Source organism: Homo sapiens, chromosome 13 (assembly GCF_000001405.40).
Source record: "Homo sapiens chromosome 13, GRCh38.p14 Primary Assembly".
Taxonomy (NCBI): Eukaryota; Metazoa; Chordata; class Mammalia; order Primates; family Hominidae; genus Homo; species Homo sapiens.
In genome coordinates this window covers 51,002,492-51,021,785 of record NC_000013.11, presented here as the reverse complement: position 1 = coordinate 51,021,785, position 19,294 = coordinate 51,002,492, and the positions used below count along the sequence as shown (strand labels likewise).

Sequence of the window (19,294 nt, the reverse complement as noted above, 5' to 3'; positions counted from 1 at the left end):
GTTCCTGGAGGTATTAATTGTCAGAATCATCCTAGAGTGTATTTTGGCAATACGTATCAAAAGCCTTAAAAATGAGGATATTCTTTGTCTAAGTAACCCGTGTCTAAGAATATATCTTTTTAACAAACTAACTAGCCATGATTATACACAAAGACTGCCTCAAGCTTATTCATCACAATGTTGTTTATACAATGATAAGCTAGATAAAATATAATCAATACTAGCTTATTATTTAATAAAAGACAGTATGAGCAAGGTAACCAGCAAAAATTAAGATGAATATCTATATTTAATACTATGAAAGAATATGTTATATATTTTAAGTGAAAAATTCAGATTATGAAAAGAAGATGCCATGTAATCCCTGTTTTTTTGTAAAACAAAGATATACTACAAAATATTAACAGTAATTATCCATGTGGTATGATTATGGGTGATTTTTACTATTTTCTTTCACTTTTTTTGTTTTCTGCAATGAATGTGTACTGCTTTTACAATAACATAACAAACATATCTATTTTTAAAGAAATACACATATTGAGTTCAGGAAGCAAGGTTTCTCTGGAAATTCAGATGCAGTCAGCGTGGTGTAGGATGCAGTTGTGTGATGCTAAATGAGAATACCAAGACAAAACCCTCAGGAACACTAACATTTAAGGAATGAGATTAAAATAATGTAAGTAAAAATTCAAAGAATTAGGGGACATCTCAGAGAGAAAGCAGTGTCAGAGAAGTCCTAGGAAGTGAGATTTCGGGAAGAAGGGTCTGGTTAACATCATCAAACAGCAGAAAGGCTGAGTAAAGAAAAGGCCAAGGAACTTGTGTTGGCATCGGTAGCATGGAGGCCATTGATAGATGGGAGCCACTTCAATGTAGGCAATGGACACAGCTGCTAGGGACAGAGGGGAGATAAGTAAGGTCTCACAGACCTTGGGTAAAAGAGAAAGAGCGTGACTGTGCAGTAACTAGAAGCACACAGTGTGGGAGATGATTGGTTGTCCAGCGAGCTCGTCTCAGTCCCTACTGGTGACATACTCTACTGTTGCATTTCTCTCCATGATGGCAAGGCCAGATGATCTGGATGGAGTCCATGTGGTGCATGGTGTACCTGTGCTCTCCGAAGCTCCGCAGCCTGCAAGAGCTGGAAGAACTCAATATGCATCTTTCTGACATCGCCCCCAACGACACCACCAGGGATCTCATCCTCCTGAACCAGCAGCGGCTGGCTGAGATAGAGCTGTCCAACCAGCTGGAAAGGAAGAAGGAGGAGCTACAGGTCCTCTCCAAGCACTTGGCCATTGAAAAGAAGAAAACAGAGACCTTACTTTATGCCATGCTGCCCAAACACGTGGCCAACCAGCTGAGGGAGGGCAAAAAGGTGGCTGCAGGTAAGGCACCCTCTCCTCCACAGCGTCCTCTGAGCAGAGCGTGGTATGTCTTAGTGGTCAGGGCCACAGGCTTTGAAGCCAGACAGAAGTGGTTTTGAATTCTGGCTCTGTCACTTGTAAGTGGCATGATCTTGGGGTAATTACTCCACCTGCATATTCTCAGCTTTGTTCTCTCTACATTAATAATAATAATAATAAAAATAATACAGGAGTGAAACATGAATTATATAAAAATGGTTGTCAACTACACACACATTAAATTCTCTAAGAATTTAAGGATATGTCCTGAGACTGGCCTCATTACTCAGTGACAATGAGTAGGGTTCTTAACTTTAACTAGAAATAATACACTCGCACACTAGTTAAATCATAGGGTTCCTCTGAGGACCATTCTGGGACAGTATACTATTTATGGAGGCAGGGATGCTGTGTTTACCCTGAACTCACTTTCCGTTTGTCATGGGATTGTGTTCATTCACCAGACACGCCTGGTGAACTTACTCTGTGCCAGGGTGCTGTTCCAGATCTGGGGACACAGAGGAGTTTACAGCCTCATGAGTTTGATAGATATATGCAGAATAAATTAATGGGGGTGGAAATGACCAAAGGAAAAGAAACTAATTTGCATTAAGGAGCAATTATTGTGCCAGGATCCATGTTAGACATTTTACATGTGCAGTTTCATTAAATTTTCTCAACATTTCTATGAAGGAGGTGTTGTCCATACCATATTGCTGAGCAAATTGACATTCAGCGCAGCTGATAAATGAAAGAGGTGGAAACTAACTGCGTTAAGGCCATCTAACTCCAAAATCCATACTCTTTCCATCACACAAGGTGCTATGGCAACATGGGGACAGGGAAATTAATAATAAATAGATGTCAGGAGATAAGAGATAGGGGGGTGGGTTGGAGTTGTGGAGGTACCTCTCAAAAGTGTGTGACACTTGAGTTGGGCCTTGAGGCTGAATTTCAGCAAGCAAAGAGGAAAAAGGCATTTTTGGAGAATGGGCTAGTAAGAGTCAAAGTTAAGGCAATGTGCAAACGAATACCATGGGGCATGTTCCCAGAGCGTGGGGTATGTGGAAAAGTGGGGTCTGGTGACGCTGAGTGGGTAGGGTGGGGTTCAGGTGATGCAGTGATGAATTTGGACTATTAGGGAAAAGGAAATTGTCTTTTGTAGGCAGTGAGAATTCATTGAAGTTTCTTCTCTTATTATGGAAGTGACAGGATGAGTTTTATAAATCCGATTTTGGCTGCAGTGTAATGAATGCATGAGGGGGTGCTGAAAGACCATAAGGGCGCAGCTGATTGATGGTAGAGGCCTGAATTAGGGCAGCCTGAGGAAGAATCAGCAGGATTTCCTCACTGACCAGATGGGGAAGGTAAGACAGCGGAGGCAGGCATGGGTCTGAGGCTTCTCGCATGGAAAAATGGGATGCTTTATCCTAAGACAGGGCCAGAAAGAAGAGCAGGGTTGGGGGAGAATGATAAGGTCCATTTTAGAACCATTGAGCTGGAGATGTCTGTGGGATACTCCACACAGCATGATCAGTGGTAGGAATCTTAGTGAGAGCTCATAGGAACATTGTGGCATGGAGCTATACATCTGGGAGTTATTGCAATGTGGGCGGGGTTAATCATAGACTCTGAATGGTGGATAAGATCACCTAGAGGACAGGAAGTGAGAAGAGAGTGGAGTATTACTCTTTAGGGAACATCTAGTGCTTAAGAAGGTTGAGAAGCCAAGGAAAGATATAAAACAAGGAGATCAGAAAGGTAGGAGGAATATGAAGAGAGGATGATAGGCCAGAAGCCAAGGAGAAGGGAAAGTTCCACAAAGGGGAAATTACCATCAGAGGCTTAACTAACAAAGAAGGCACCCGGCTGCATTCAAGGAGTCATTGATTCACTCACTCAATATTTATTGAGCATTTACTATGTGCCAGGCCCTGCTTTAGGTGCTTGGGATATGGCAGAGATCTAAACTGACAGTCTCCCGTCTCATGGAGCTTTGTATTCCAATGGGGTGGTAGACAATAACCAAATAAACCATTCCATACAAAATATCAGGCCGGGCATGGTGGCTTACGCCTGTAATACCAGCACTTTGGGAGGCTGGGTGGGCAGATTGCCTCTGCTCAGGAGTTCGAGACCAGCCTGGACAACACGGTGAAACCCTGTCTCTACTAAAACTACAAAAAATTAGCCAGGCATGGCGGCGTGTGCCTGTAGTCCCAGCTACTCGGGAGGCTGAGGCAGGAGAAATGCTTGAACCAAAGAGGTGGAGGTTGCAGTGAGCCGAGATCATGCCACTGCACTCTAGCCTGGGTGACAGAGTGAGACTCTATCTCAAAAAAAAAAAAAAAAAAAAATATATATATATATATGTATATACATATAATGTCAAATGTATGGAGTGGGTGGAAGGCAATCAAGCTAAAAGGATAGCCAGTCTAGGGGCTATTTTATACAGGGTGGTCAGGAGAGTTCTCACTGAGTTGGTTACATTTGAAATGTGAGTAACAGGCCCTGTAGATATTTGAGAAAAGTGTCAGGCAGAGGAAACACCTCTTTTTTTAAGTGTAGAAGCCTGAAGGCAGGAGGCACTTGGCATGCTGGAGAAACCCCATGAGGCCAGTGTGGCCAGAGTGGAGGGAGCCGGAGGGACATGGGGTCAGAGAGGTGGCAGGGACAGAGGTGGGGGGTCCCCTCTGTAAGCCATGGTCAGGACTTTGGGTTGCATTCTAAGTGTGATGGAAGTCATGAAAGATTTGAGATTGAAGAATGGGAGATCTGACTTAAACAGGGCATCTGGCTGCTATGTGGAAGTTAGCATGAATGGGGGCCAAGGTGGAATCAGGGGCATGATTTAGGAGCAAGTGTTCAGGACAAGGTAGGTTTCCTGCCATTCAAAGACAGGGACCCATCACTTCACAGTGACCAGTCTCTGTCAGCCCTGTCCCCAGGTCTCCTGTAGCTCAGGCTCTGCTTGGCCCACTTGCTAGGGGCCCTTTCTGTCCTCCCACAGCACTGGTCACATTTTACTGGAAGGATTTGTTCACTTTTATGTCTCCTTCATTAGACTGGGGGCTCCTTGGGGGCGAGGGCCTGGTCTGCTTGCCCCCTGTGATATGATTCTCCTACTACGACTAGCTTGCAGCGGGCACTCAGTAAACGTGTGCTGGGTGATGCTGAATGGGGAATGGCATCCAGCTACTTTTCCCACAAGGCACAGGGCAGGTTTGATTCTCACAGGGCCTCTTAATCCAGAATTCATGGACTTATTAGTCGATCTCCTTGTTTCTCACTGATACCTGGTTTCTGTTGTAGGAGAATTTAAAAGCTGCACGATTCTTTTCAGCGATGTAGTGACATTTACTAACATCTGTACTGCCTGTGAACCTATACAAATAGTGAACGTGCTGAATTCCATGTACTCCAAGTTTGACAGATTAACCAGTGTGCACGCAGTCTATAAAGTAAGTGTCTGTGCAGTGTGGGGTGTTTCACGGTGTGCTCACGCAGGGCGAGTGCTTGATTCTAAGTCTCCCTTTGCCTCTGTCTGCACTGGTCTGGGGTTTGGTGTGGATGAGTGTGGGGTCAGAATAAAAGCTGAAAGGGAATTGGAAGTATTTTAGGAATTCTAGTTTTTAGAAATTCTTTTTACAATGCTCAGTGCTAAGATGGCACTCTGGTGCCCTTGAGGGGCACCTAGATGTCAGGTGTTTTCATAGAGTGTAGTTCTCCTACTCCTAAATTCAGCAGAAAATCGAATCTAAACAATGTGTTATCTCATATATAGCATCACATGACTACCCCAGGAGCTTCGTCTTTTCTGGGATTTGTTTCCACCAAAAGCAGAAAGGCCTTTTGGCTCTCTCATGGTTGTTTCCTGAGTCCTTTTCTTTCTCACCTCCTCCCTCATGCTCCTCATACCCTTAGCAAAGAATCAATTACCAGCTTTAGTATAGTCCCTTTGTCTATATATGGAAAATGAAAAAAAGTGTAGTGACATGTTTAGTGCATGAAGGAATCCCTCTGAATACCTATTTTTTTTTCCCTGACAGGTAGAAACAATAGGAGATGCTTATATGGTGGTAGGAGGTGTACCAGTGCCTATTGGAAACCATGCTCAAAGAGTGGCTAATTTTGCCTTGGGGATGAGAATTTCTGCAAAGGAAGTGACGAATCCTGTTACTGGAGAACCCATCCAGGTAGAGAGCAACTGAGTACTTGGCTTAATGCCAAACATCTCACACACAAAAGTAGAATTCTGCTTATGTGCTTAGGTGATTACTGGGTAAGTTGCTGTCATTAAAATGGGTAATGTATCCTAGCCCTTTTCTTCTCTTGCATATGTCCCTAATAGAGATATTCCTAAGGCTCCTATAGTCTCAACTTTTCTCAAATTTCAGAGGAGGCTGCGGTGCTCAAGGTTTTCCTACGATTGACTGCAAGCTTCCTTTGTTGGTAATTCAGGACAGTGCTGAGCAGTTCTTCCTATTTACCTAGCAGGGCTCAATCCATCTTAAACACCAGCTCATTTATAATTCCTGCTTTTATGTTCAAGCATTTCAACAAGTGGTTCAGGTTTAATGAGCAGCCAACTTTTCCTGCTTAGGAAATTGTGTCTCCAACATGCCATCTGACAGGTTCAGAACTCAGGCTGAGGTGTGAGGCTGCCTGCAGTCAGCAGGCCAGGCACCGTGATGCCGTAAGATATTCAGAATGGCTTTCCTTCCACCAAGTGGCCACTAGCGAGACATCTGCTCGCCTTTCTCACAGAAAAGTACGCTTCCAAGTCTGGAAGTTTGTTCACACTCTAAAAGTTGAACAGTTTTGGAGGTGAAAAATGAATGTCCTCCTCCGCTGGCTCAGCAGATCCTAATGCTCCTGGGATGGCTGAGAGTGGCGTCTCTCTGCCTTTGATTTCTAGGTCCTTCCTCTGCTAATATCAGTCAGAAATTTAAAATAAACTAGTCAATTCAAAATAAACAAAGCCAATTATAAGATGGAATATGATTTTTCCACATTATAACTTTTTACAGGAGATTCTGAAAATCTGCTGCACTCACTCTGACCATGGTGAGTTAGAAGCTGAGAAACAGTGCAGATCATGGCTACAGCATCCACTGTAGTCTTCTAAGTAAAAGCTGGCCTTAGATAGTCACAAGAACAAGATAGCTGCCATAATGACTCATTGTAAACACAGTGTGCATCAGTGGAATAAAAATCCAATGTAATAAATAAAAAATCAGGATGAGAGGCAATGAGGGAAGAGATATAAGAAGGTTAGATAAGAGATAAATGTTTCAGTTAAAGGATGCTTGTGTAAGTCACTGGTGAAAAATAAAAATAAAAATGGAAAGCATAGTGTGCGTGTGTGTGTGTGTGCGTGTGTGTGTGTGTGCATGTGTGTATGAAAGGGGCATAGCGCCAGAGATGAAAATAATGCTACACCAATAAGAATGAAATTAGACAATGAATTGTTGGAAACTCTCAAGGTGGATTTACCAAGAAAAAAATAGGAAAGGATGTTAGCAATTCCAAGGTAAGACTATGGACATAATTAGGAGCATCATTAAATATCCACCAGAAACAGCATATCATATGGGTTTATTCAAGGATGTAGGGGAGAGAACTGGAAACACTTTCTCTCTTAACAGAATTGTGCAATTATTTTGCACTGAGATATTCTATTATTTTATTCATATAGCTTTAATATACATTTACTGAGATCCATCCATGTATGAGACAGTATTACTAGGTGCTTTGAAGGGTTCAGAGAATCCTGTTTTCCTAGAGAAATTATAATTTTATTTCAAGCAGAAGAAAATCTAGCAAGTAAAAACAACAAGCAATCTGATTAGGATGTAGAAAGCTGTAAGAGACTGTTGTTCCCATGCTAGCAGTTTTTTTTCCCCCACCAGAAAGCAAAGGAATCAAAATAAACTAAATTCCAGGAAGTGACAAACCTTTCAAAGAGAAGACACCCATAATTGCATTCAATCCTGGCAGGGCAGCAGAAGAAGTAATCCACCAGAGGTGAGGGTAGGGATAATCCCGTCTAAATTTTAGTGGACTTTTAATGGTCACAGGGCTGAAACAACAGGTTAGAATGCCAAAGAGTCCCAGCCACAGAGTCTGTACCCATCTACCAACTCTTCCTCATAGGCCAAGTGCAGGGGATTAGTCAGCCAAAAACTAGGACAGGAGAGGAGAGCTGAGAGAACTCCCGAGTCCCTGAGGTGTTTGGGGCCTTTCCCAAATGCAAAGCAGTGGCCCATTAAAGGCTAATGTTAGAGTAAGAGAACTGAGAGAAATCCAACTGAAGTACTCTTCGTCTTCACCAAGTACACTACGATGACCTTTTGAAGTATGAGGGCAAGGAGGAATGGCAGAGAAAATTTTCCCAAGGTGCAGAGAGCCAGGGTGGGACTGAAGAGCAAAGAGACTTCTGAAAATCTCACTGTTGGGCTGTAATGCAGGAGGAGATCTCCTACAACTCCAAAAGCTGTGGATTGGCTGTACAGCATTCAAGGTCCTCAGAGTCTTGCTGGTGCTCAGATTCTAAGCTCTGCTGTACTGAAAGTTCTGATTCAGCCTTCATAATATTTGAAACCAGTGGTGCATGGAATCTACCAATATTTCTGGAAAAGCCCTGACCCAACTCAAATATGGATTAGATTTACTTACTGCCCATTCCAGCAGCCTAATTCTGTAGGGATGTAACATTTTCTGGTGGATAAATATTATCTACTTCAGTCTCTACTGTATTTTCACACACAATATGGGTCATTCAATTAGATAATGAAAAATATGAGATGCAAGAAGCAACAAGAAAATAGTAATATAGTGGATAGCCAATAGAGAAAATAGTCAATAGAAGCAGGTCCAGAAATAGCCTAGATGTTGGATCTTTAAAATTAGTGTGATAAATATTTTAAAGGGTCTATAAGAAAAGGGGCAAAACAAGTGTGAAGATATGGGAAATACGTACATACTGTCTATATTTACATCTATATCTATATCTAACAGAAAACTATGATATCAGAAATCAGAAATAAAGAATTAATTTTATGGGCTCAACGAAGACTAGACACAATAGAGAAAAAAATCAGGGAATTTGAAGACAGAGAAATAGAAATCACCCAAACTGAAATGCAAAGAAGAAAACAGGGTTAAAAAGGGGAACAAGACACTCTATATCTGTAGGACAATATCAAATGGACTCCCATATATGTAACTGAAATGCTAGAATGAGAACAGAGTGAGAATGGGTAAGAAGAAATATTTGAAGAGATAATAGTTGAGAATTTTTCAACATGAAGGATATCAATGCACACATCCAGAGCTCAGCAAACCCAAGCAGAATAAATACAAAGACAACCACTTCTAGTTAAAGCATACCAAAAACTCTACCCAGTGAACTAAGGCAAGAAGAAGAAATATAAGACATTAAGTTTGGAAATGAATGAAGAAATAAAATTATCATTATTCACAGAACAAATAATGGTGCACCTAGAAACTCTTATACAAACTACAGGAAACTACAAGATCTAATAAATGAGTTTAGCAAGGTCATAGCATAAATACAGGAAAATTAATTAAATTTTTATATGTTAAGGACAAAAAATTGAAAATGAAATAAAAAGAAAATAAACTTAATTAAATTTCTAGGAGTAAATCTAACAAAAGATACATATGACCTCTATGCTTAAAACTATAAGGTATTGCTTAGGGAAATTAAAGAGGACCTAATTAAATAGAGAGATATACCGTATTCTTTGGAAAACTCAATATATTTAAGCTGTCCATTTTCCCCAAATTGATGTATAGATTCCGTAGAATACCAATCAAAATCCCTGCAAGCTTCTTAGAAAATATTCACAAGCTGATTTTAAAATTTATATGGAAATGTAAAGAATCTAGACTAACCCGAACACTCTTAGAAAATAACAAAATTGGAGGATGTACACAACTAATTTTAAGACTTATTCTAAAGCAACAGTAAAAAAAAAACAGAGTGAGATTGGGAGAAGAATAGACAAAGAGACCACTGGAGCAGCACAGAGTGTCCAGACATAGACTCCATGTTTAGTCCATTGATTTTTGACCAAGGCACCAAATAATTGAGTGGGGAAGGCAACCTCTTTTTAAAAAATGATTCTGTTACCATTGAATATCATGTGGAAAGAAAAAATGTACCTCAGTTCTACCTTACCCCATATACAAAAAAAATCATTTGATATATATCACAAATCGAAACATAAAATCTAGAATCACAAAGCTTCTTGATGGAAATAAAGAATAGCATCATGACTTTGGGGAAAACAATGATTTTTTTTTTTTTAGATAGGACACAAAAAACACTGACCATGAAGGGAAAAAAATGATAAACTTCATTGTTACAGGCTGAATTGTGTCTTGCCCAAAATTCTTATTTTGAAACTCTAGTACTCACTACCTCAGAACATGACTGTCTTTGGAGCTAGAGGCTTTACTGAGTAAAATGAAACCTTAAGAGTAAGCCCTCATCCAACGTGCCTGATGTCCTTATAAAAATATGAAATTTGGACGTAAAGAGACACTAAGAATGCATGTGCACAGAGGAAGGACCACGTGAGGACACAGCAAAAAGGTGGACATCTACAAGCCAAGCAGAGAGGCCTCAGGAGAAACCAACCCTGCCCACAGCTTGATCTTGGCCTTCCAGGCTCCAGAATTGTGAGAAATAATTTCCATTGTTTAAGCTACACAGCCTGTGGTATTTTGCTATGGCAGCCTAAGCAGATGAATACATTCATCAAAATTAAAACATTCTGCTTATTAAAGAAAATAAATACACAAACCCACAGACTGATAAAAATATTTGTAATACATACATATTACATATCCAAATATGTGTACAATTCATACACATTAACAATAAAAGACAAACAGCTCAATTTTTAAAACAGGCAAAAAATTGAACAGACTTTTTTACAAAAGAAAATATATGAATGGCCAATGTGTGTGTGACAGTGTGCCTAACATCATTAGTCACCAATTTAACGCAAATTAAAACCACAGTGAGATATCATTTCACACCCACGAGAAGACCAAATGATGGTGAAAATGGGAACAACTGAAAGTGTCACGTCGCTGATAGAAATGTAAAACAGTAAAACAACTTTGGAGAATTGCTGGGTAGTTTTTTGGCTTGTTTTGTTAAAAAATAAAATTAAATCTGTATCTACCTTGGGACTCAGAAATTCCACTTCTAGGTATTTACTTAAGAGAAAGGAAAACATGTCTACAAAAATATCTGTACAGGAATGTTTATAGCAGCCTTAATTTTAATAGATTCAAACTGAAAAATAATCTAAATGTTCATGAAAAGGAGACTGGATAATGAATGTGGTGTATTCTAACAATAGAATGCTATTCAGTGATAAAAATAACTACTGATATGTAAGACAATATAGATGAATCTCAAAAACATTATGTTGAGTAAATGAAACCAGATATAAAACAGTATATACTATAAGATTGTACATATGTGATGTTCTGGAACAGGCAAATCATTCTTTGGTAAAAGAAATAAAAAAGGCCAGGCGCAGTGGCTCATGCCTATTATCCCAGCACTTTGGGAGGCTGAGGCAGGTGGATCGCCTGAGTTCCGGAGTTCGAGACCAGCTTGGCCAGCTGGCCAACATGGTGAAACCCTGTCTCTAATAAAAATACAAAAATTAGTCGGGTGTGGTGGCGGGGGGGCACCTGTAATCTCAGCTACTCTGGAGGCTGAGGCAGGAGAATCGCTTGAACCCAGGAGGCGGAGGTTGCAGTGAGCTGAGATCACACTGCACTCCAGCCTGGGCAACAAGAGTGAAACTCCATCTCAAAAAAAAAAAAAAAAAAAAAAAGAAGAAATGAGAATGTAGTTATCTCTGCTGAAGAAGATGGGGAGAGAGCTTAACTAGAAGGGGCACAAGATAATTTTGCAAGGTAATGGAACTAGTTTACATTTTATTTTGGGTGGTGGTTACAGGGATATAAGCACTTGTCAAAACTCATGGAGCCAAACACTTTAATATCTTTTTTTATTTTATGTAAATTATATCTCAACTTACAAATAAAATCAAGAGTATTAGATGGTCTCTTTTCAGTGATGCTGTCTCTGTACAGCTCAGAGTGGGGATCCATACTGGACCAGTCTTAGCAGATGTTGTAGGAGACAAGATGCCACGGTACTGCTTGTTTGGTGACACTGTGAACACAGCTTCTAGGATGGAAAGTCATGGGCTTCCCAACAAAGTGCACCTCAGTCCCACAGCCTACAGGTAGCCTTCCATTTATTCATGCCTTCCTTTGTCCCTTCCTCTTTCTAGAACTTACAGAGTGCCTAGCAGCCATGGGTTGGGGTAGTGCAGGAAACTCATGTTTTTCCTTCCATGTCTCAATGGCTTACAGAAGATATTGTGGCAGATAATAAATTTAGTTGAGCTTCTAACTGTAGCATAGTTTTTACTGTCAAGGAGCATATAGTTTAGTTCAGGGAACAGCAAAGTATAACCCCACAGACCAAATCTAGTCTGCTGCTCATTTTTGTAAATAAAGTTTTATTGGAACACAGCCATGCACTTTCATTTACATATAGTCTATGGCTGATGTCATGCTACAAAGGCAGAGTTGAATCACTGCAACAAAGACCATATGATACACAAAGTCTAAAATATTTACTATCTGGTCTTTATTTATATAAAAAGCGTGCTGACCTTTGGTCTAGCAGAAGAAAAAAGAAAAGTTGTAGTTGATTATTTTTAAAGTGAGATAAGTACAATGACAAATATGTGCATAAAACAATACTTATAGTTTCTTGAGCACTTAAAATAGGCCACATTCTATTCTAAATTCTTTTATATGTTAATTCATTTACAGTTGCAACAGCTCTGTGAAGATACATTATTATTATTATTTACATGAAAGAAAAGGCACAAAAAGGTTAATCATTTGCCTCAGGACCAGGTAGGCTAGGAAGGAGAATAGCCCAGATGCAGCCCACGGAGTCAGAGTTCAGTGTCCCCCCTTTAACTGCTGCACTCTTATCCTCAAGGTAGTCACCGGGGGTGTCATGAGAGCCCAGGGCAAGGGTGCTTGACCCAGTAAAAAAGGGCTTCATGGAGGAGATTCCTGAGCTGAATCTTGAGCAAGGAGTTCCAGAGTAAAATTTAGCCAAAATTGGGGTATTGGGAGTAAAAAGTGGGTAGAGGCTCACATGTAGAATAGGTGCAGAGAACTATAAACACCCGAGGTTTTCTGTATTGGAAAATATGAGGCAGGAGCAGTGAGAGCTGCACATGCCTTACTGAAGGGCAAGAGCCCTATGCCGTAGGTGAGGAAAAGCCCCCAACGAATGTGAGGTTGAAGACAGTGACAGGGTCAGGGTCCTATTTGACACTGACCACTCTAGAGACCCTGAAAGGGCATATTTGAGAACCAGAAAATGAGACAGATGAGACCTGTTAGGAGTTTGGTCTGAATCAGAACATTAGTGGTGGGAATATGGGGGAAAATAAAACCAGCTAAAGTAGTTAGAAATGGGGGATGAGAAGAAGGGGGGAGCCCGGGTCTCCATTCTGGGTGACTAGGGCTTGAATGGTGGCCTGGCCATCTGCAATGGGACAAATGAGAAGTATCCCAGATCATAGGGGCAGACAATGAGTTTAGGTTGGACACGCTGGGTTCAAAGGAACTGTGGAACATTCAGCTAGAGGTGCCATAAAATGGATGGAGTTGAGTTATTGAAGATCCAGACTTGGAGTAAGCAACATATAGGTGGTAATAACAGTCATGAGAGTTGATGAGATCAACCCAGGGAAGGATGCAGTGTGCAAAGAACAGTGGGAAAAGAATGGAATCCTGTGCAGAACCAATATTTAAGTGGCACAGAAGGAAGAGGAGCCCAGGGAAGAGACAGGAGAAGAAATACTCAGAAAGGACCAGGAGAGTTGAGGGTGAGAAGCACTCTTGTGGATGACTTTAGGAAGGAAGAATTGAACAAAAATGTCAAATGTAGTAATAAGGACTGAAAAATACTCACTAGAGGTTTTGGGGACATTCTCAAAAGTGGTTGTAGTAGAATGGTGGGATAGACGTTGGGCTGAAGAATAAAAAGAGGAGAAAGTTTGCATGAGATTAAAGCAGGTGAGAGGCTGTTTTGTTTGTTTCTGTTTAGGATGGAAGAGACATAAGCACACTGAAAAGCAGAAGGAGAAAGGCAAATGGAATGGGAGATGAAGATAAGCGTGGGGTGGCCAATGGAGCAAGGCCCAGAGGTGGTGGGAAGGGGGTGAGGGTGAGGAGACCCTGGACAAGAAATATACCTCATCCTCGGAGATTGGGGGACAGGATGGTGTGGTCATGGGGTGAGAAGTCACAGGCTCTCACCTGTAATCAATGTAATTTTGTAGATGAATCAGGGCATAAAGTAGGAGGCACAGCCACCAGCGTATGAGTGAGGGGAGCAGATGCCAAATGGAGGCCCATGAGGACTGTGGTGAAGGTCTGAACTCTCTACCAACCTGGCCAAGGGCAAGGGAAGGCTCGATGGAGTGCCGAGGCAGGTGGTCATGAATTTGAATCCTCATTGGTCTGAGTGGTTCTTTGGCTTTTCTCTAACATCACTTGGTGGCTAGTAAATAAATAAACAGGGAAACGTTTTGTAATTACCCCATAGCTCTGTCTCTTTTCATGGTCCCTTCCCTATAGTCCTCCTCTTCAGTTCCTTGGCAGACAGAAATTGTGGTGGAGAAAGCTTGGGTAGTTAGGATGAGCATAGTAGCAAGCATGGGGTATATGGTGCACTTGGGGAAGATGGAAAGAAGAGTGTTGATACCCAAGAGTCTTACGTGGCAGAAACATGAAAGGTGGTGTCCACATGGGCACTGACAGCATGGTGTGTAGAAACGTGAGAGATGCCCATATGAGGGTTGAGCTGGAGGGAGGAAAATTGGTGGCAGGGTTGGGAGGGTTTTGATGGGTCCCTGTGTTCTCTTTTGGCCTTTGGCATCCTGTTCAGAATATCTCATCCTCACTTTCCCCACGGCCTCTGTCCTGCTTCAGCAGGCAGATGTCTGGGATCTTCCCTCCCCTGCTGTTGTGTGTCCTGTGTCCTGGACTTTTCCTCTTGAGTAGCCCTTTGCATTGTAGCCAACTCTTGAGTTACAGACCCACAATCTTTGATATCTGATGCACTTTTTTTCTCTGTGCAGAGCCTTGAAAAATCAAGGGTTTAAAATCATTGAGAGGGGTGAAATTGAAGTGAAAGGTAAAGGGAGAATGACCACATACTTTTTGATCCAGAACTTGAATGCCACAGAGGATGAGATCATGGGGAGATCTAAAACCCCAGTTGATCACAAGGGTAAGCAAAAAAGAGAAGCTTTGTCATTAGTGTTGAGTAGTTTTTCCACTAACCACTTCAGATATGTTTATTATTTGCAGGGTCAACACAGAAAGCATCCTTGCCCACCACCAAGCTCCAGGGCTCAGTTCAACCATCTTGCCCTGAACACTCTTCTCTTGCATCCTGGTTATTATGACGTTCTTTGAGCTGGGCCGATAGATCCAGCTGAAGAGTTCTACATACATTAGTCTTCAAGGTTCTTCTCTGGGCGTTTCCCATGCAGCTCTCTGGTAGCTGGGGAATGATTTGTGAGTGCTTCCTCTGCTCCACAGCCTCAGAGGCTCCAGCACAGGCTTCCCTCGCGTGCTGGAACCTTTTTCACATTTTGTTCTAGCTTCCAAAACTGGGATGAGGGACAAAATTTGTGACTCACCCAGCTCCAGGAATGACAAGAGGGTGGGAGTTTAGGGTAAAAAAACCCAGTACTAAGCTGGACCAGGGATTACTGTTTGGCTCATGGTACCCCCAAAAAGAAGCTGGAATCCAATGGCGAGCTCTCCATCAGCTGCAAGGCTGATCAGTCCCACACACTCAGGGTCCCTTAGCCACAGCCTGGCTAAGACAGAAGTGCTGACCTGAAGGGGAAACCTGGTAATAGGAGGCAAGCCTTTCTGAACCTCCAAGAAGGGAATGAATTCCTTCTGACAGGAGCTAATCTTTAGCCACTCCAGAGGCCCACAAGGGGAATCTCAAAGTCCAGAGGTTCCTTATTTACACAGCTATTACACGCAGTATGTCTCTTTGGGACATGTGGATTATGATGACTATTTTTAAAAGTGGGGCTATCCCAAAGAAAAGATGGATTATTTGAAGAATTTTTAAAATTGTTGTCATAATGCTTTCATTCTAATATCAGCTCACTGTAGTATCCCTGTGAGCTATAGTTGGTTTAGGCCACATTTTACTGTTGTAGACACTGAGATACAAATATCTAAATAAAAAACAAGAAATAACTTTGGTAATAAGGACGAGGAGCAGTCCTCATTAGAGGTTTTAGCCCCAGAATTTCCAGGCTCTGGGCACCTCATCCACTGCTATCTCCCACTCCCTCCCACCCACCATCATGCCAGCCCCACAGTACAGAGGGTTTCTAGAGAGAAGGCAAACAAACATCCCCCCCTTTTCTCTTCTTCGTTGTCAAGAAATGAACAAAGTAAAGTGGGGAGGGGGCATCATATCACGTGATCATTGGAGAGGGGAAGGCAGGGCTGGAGGCTTTGGCACAGGACAGGGCAGATGGGTCTCAGCTGTGCCTGGCTGTAACCCCACACTGCTCTCTCCCACTCGTTCACTGAGGGTTCCCACACTTCTTAGAGAAACAGTATTCCGGAGCAAGGTCTGAGTCAGTAGAATCAAACCCACTTTCAGTTCTGAGCTAGGGAAAAGCAACCCTGAGTAGAAAGTGAGGAAGGGTGCCTCAACTGGGAGCCCTCAGAATGGAGCCTGAGAAAGAGGAGGGAGGGTAGGTGTGAAAGGAGGGCAGGGGATAGCAGCCCCCATCCCCCGAGGCCCCAGTCAGTGTCTCTGTGCAAATTAAGAACAAGGACCCCTTTGTGGGCTATGGGGTCGACAGCCCCCAGACATGGCTTATCATAGAGGAAAATGGCAACCTCTGTGTGGACTGAGGTCAGTCCTCACCCTGAACCCCTTGGCCAGGTGCCTCCATGTAGAGAAAACTGCACAAACATATATGTGGTCCCAGGAAGGAAGGATCCCAACCCTTTTCATGCTTCTGTGCATTTCCCAGTCCCCTCTCCCTTTCCCCAGCAGCCTTGGATTTCCTGCTGTGAGCCTCAGCCACCAGGCTCTGGGGGAGGGTGAGTCTGTCTCTCCCTGCCTGCCTTCATCTGCAGCATGGGGGCTCTAGCAGGAAGGCCAGGAACTCTCAGGGGAGACCTCATGCAGATACTGCTTCCTAAGGAACCCCATTAACTTCCGGGGTCCAGGGTGTTTTCTCCCAGTGACCACTGACATCTCCATGAGGCAAGATAGAGCCTCTCAAAGACAGTGATGGGGGAGGGGCATGGAAACACTGTTATGTTCACTGATACTCTTTTCACATGGGTCTATTCCCTCAGATTATCTCCCATGGGACACACACGACTTTTTTGGGGGGGTTACTTAGGGAGGAGCAGCAGCGAGGGCACTTCAGTGATTCTAGTGTGCAGTCAGCATTAAGAACTATGTCTAAGACCAAAGCAATGCAGAAGAAAGGGCCCTGCAGGGTCTTTCTTGTGCCCCACTCCACCCTAGCACAAAAAGACCCAGAAGGTGACAGAAACAAGAAAGGATAGTGTCCAGGAGAGCTCTTCCTCAAATGAGCCTCCTCTCCTCCACTTCGTTCTCAAGACAGTGCATTTCCTCGTTCTAGGTAATGAGTACATGAAACACGTTAAATGTCCTTCAGCCTCCCTACCACGACATCCAACAGCTGGAACTTCCATCCAGTCCTTCACATGATGGGCACCTGTGGGAAACCTGCCAGGGGCAGCCGATGTTCAGAGGCATCCAAAAAAAGTCTCCCACTTCGGCAGCCATGAAGCCCACTCATGCAACCGTCCTCACTTTTCCTTCCTCTCACGGTTTTTTGCAGAAGCAAGTGCTCAGGGAAATGAAGACAGGAGAACTGCTGCCGTCATGAGCTATGCCGACAGTCAGCAGCTGATCCCCGACAGAAACGCAGCAGATGCAGACGGTGAGTGCAGCAGGCCTGGTCTAAAATACTTCCAGCCTTGCATTGCTCATAAAGACAATCGGACACTTCAGAGGTCACTTCATAGGCAGTGAGAAAGAGCCGGGAAGGGATAGCACAGGTGGAGTTTGGTGTCCCGGGGCAGGACGCTACTGACTTGCTTGCTGTATTTTGAATAAACTGTTGTTTTGAGCACCCCTATCCCAGGTGTCCCAAGGGCTCTCATTCCGGCAGGGCCATCTATACTCGCTTCCAAAAGAATCTCTAATACCAGAAAAACGTATTACTTTCTGTGCATCCACAAAACAAAGTTTCTCTGGACAGCGTGGCCCTCAGTAGCTTGCCTTGTCTTGCTAAGGAGAGCTGAGACTTCCTCTTCCTGCACTATCTGGTGCTTTACAGAGACCTCAGGGCATTGACACTTCCGCAGAGTAGCCCAGTTACTCTCTTCTCCACTTTGTCCTGAGGGTCGTAGGGACAGGAGGGTTTGCTTAATTCATGCTTATTCTGGACGGCCTTGGCAGTCATTCAGCTCCCTCAGAGCCAGAGCCATTCTCAGGACTGACAAGGCTTGGTTTTTGAGTATGGAGTCACAAAGGAATAATGAAGAACCAGGGATGGGTGGACAACATGAACCCCTGTAGCAGCAGCTCCCCCATCTTTTTCTAGAACCCTCATGCTAGGTGATCCGTGTGGAGTTAAAAGCGGCACGGCCACAGTATAGAGGGGATCACATCTCATGCATTTTCTAAAAACCATCTCTGGTCACTGAGACAATTTCTTAAGACAAATGAAATGATCCATGTGATGAGTTAGAACAGCTTAATAATCCATATAAAAAGTCTAGCTCTCGTTATCTTTATTAGACAATATCTCTAAAGTTGAGTGTTGCTTGAGCCCTTGGCATTGGCACTGCCCTGATGCCCAAAGGCTTCCCTCTAGCTTGATCCTAGAACCTGAGGTTGAGGGAATGAATAGCAGCCTCCTGTTCATTTCAGGTGAGAGGAGACAGAGCAAAACTTCTCTCACTCTGATCCTGGGGTCAGATGGACATTTGCATTCTGGGACATGAGAAGCTCAAAGCAAAGTTTTTGCCATTGCCTGGAGGCATTTCCCTCCCGTCCCCACTCCTCTCCTTCCTGGAGTTGCATGTTTCTGGCAGTGCCCAAAACCCTGAATAGTTGTCCAACGTATTACAGGATAGAATTATAACACTCATAGGTCCATTTGATAGTGTTCCTTGGAAAACTGTTGCTGCTGCAGGAATGGACAAAGCATCTAGTCACTGTCCTGGGATCTGCAATGCTCACTGAACTAAACACATGAGATTCCTGCCTTTGGGCAGCTTGTGGTTTAGTAGAGGGAAACAGACAATTAACATGTAACTAAACAAATAAGATCATTGGGGTAGTGATGAATGTTAAGAAAAAAATAAAACTCAGTAGAGGGCCAGTGAAGTCTTCTGAGAGGGAGCAGCATTTCAGCTGAGACTTGGATGAAGGAAGAAACCCCATGTGGCTACCTGGGTAGGGGCTTCCAGGCAGCGCTGTGCCCAAGGCAGAAACAGCCTTGGCAAGTTCACAGGAGACAAGAAGACCAGTGTGCCTGGAAAGGGCTGCAAGAGGAAGGGAGACATAGGGATGAAATCAGACAGGTGTGTCGGGGCCTGGGACAGTCTTGGCCTTGAGACTGCTTATCAACGTGCAAAAAAGCATGAGCATGAAATAAGGGGTAGGTGAGGAGGCGCTGGGGCTCCCGGAGACC

The 19,294-nt window shown here is 43.1% G+C and overlaps 1 pseudogene across 1 annotated transcript in view; it reads left to right on the top strand.

The window, feature by feature from the left end:
- GUCY1B2 (guanylate cyclase 1 soluble subunit beta 2 (pseudogene)) overlaps positions 1 to 19,294 on the top strand; it is a 71,647-nt pseudogene that overhangs the window by 44,372 nt on the left and 7,981 nt on the right. The window contains exons 10-16 of the transcript NR_003923.2: positions 1,068 to 1,388; positions 4,722 to 4,870; positions 5,459 to 5,605; positions 11,559 to 11,713; positions 14,645 to 14,796; positions 14,877 to 15,086; positions 17,210 to 17,533. The product of NR_003923.2 is annotated as a guanylate cyclase 1 soluble subunit beta 2 (pseudogene) (transcript). The remainder of the gene's footprint in view (positions 1 to 1,067; positions 1,389 to 4,721; positions 4,871 to 5,458; positions 5,606 to 11,558; positions 11,714 to 14,644; positions 14,797 to 14,876; positions 15,087 to 17,209; positions 17,534 to 19,294) is intronic.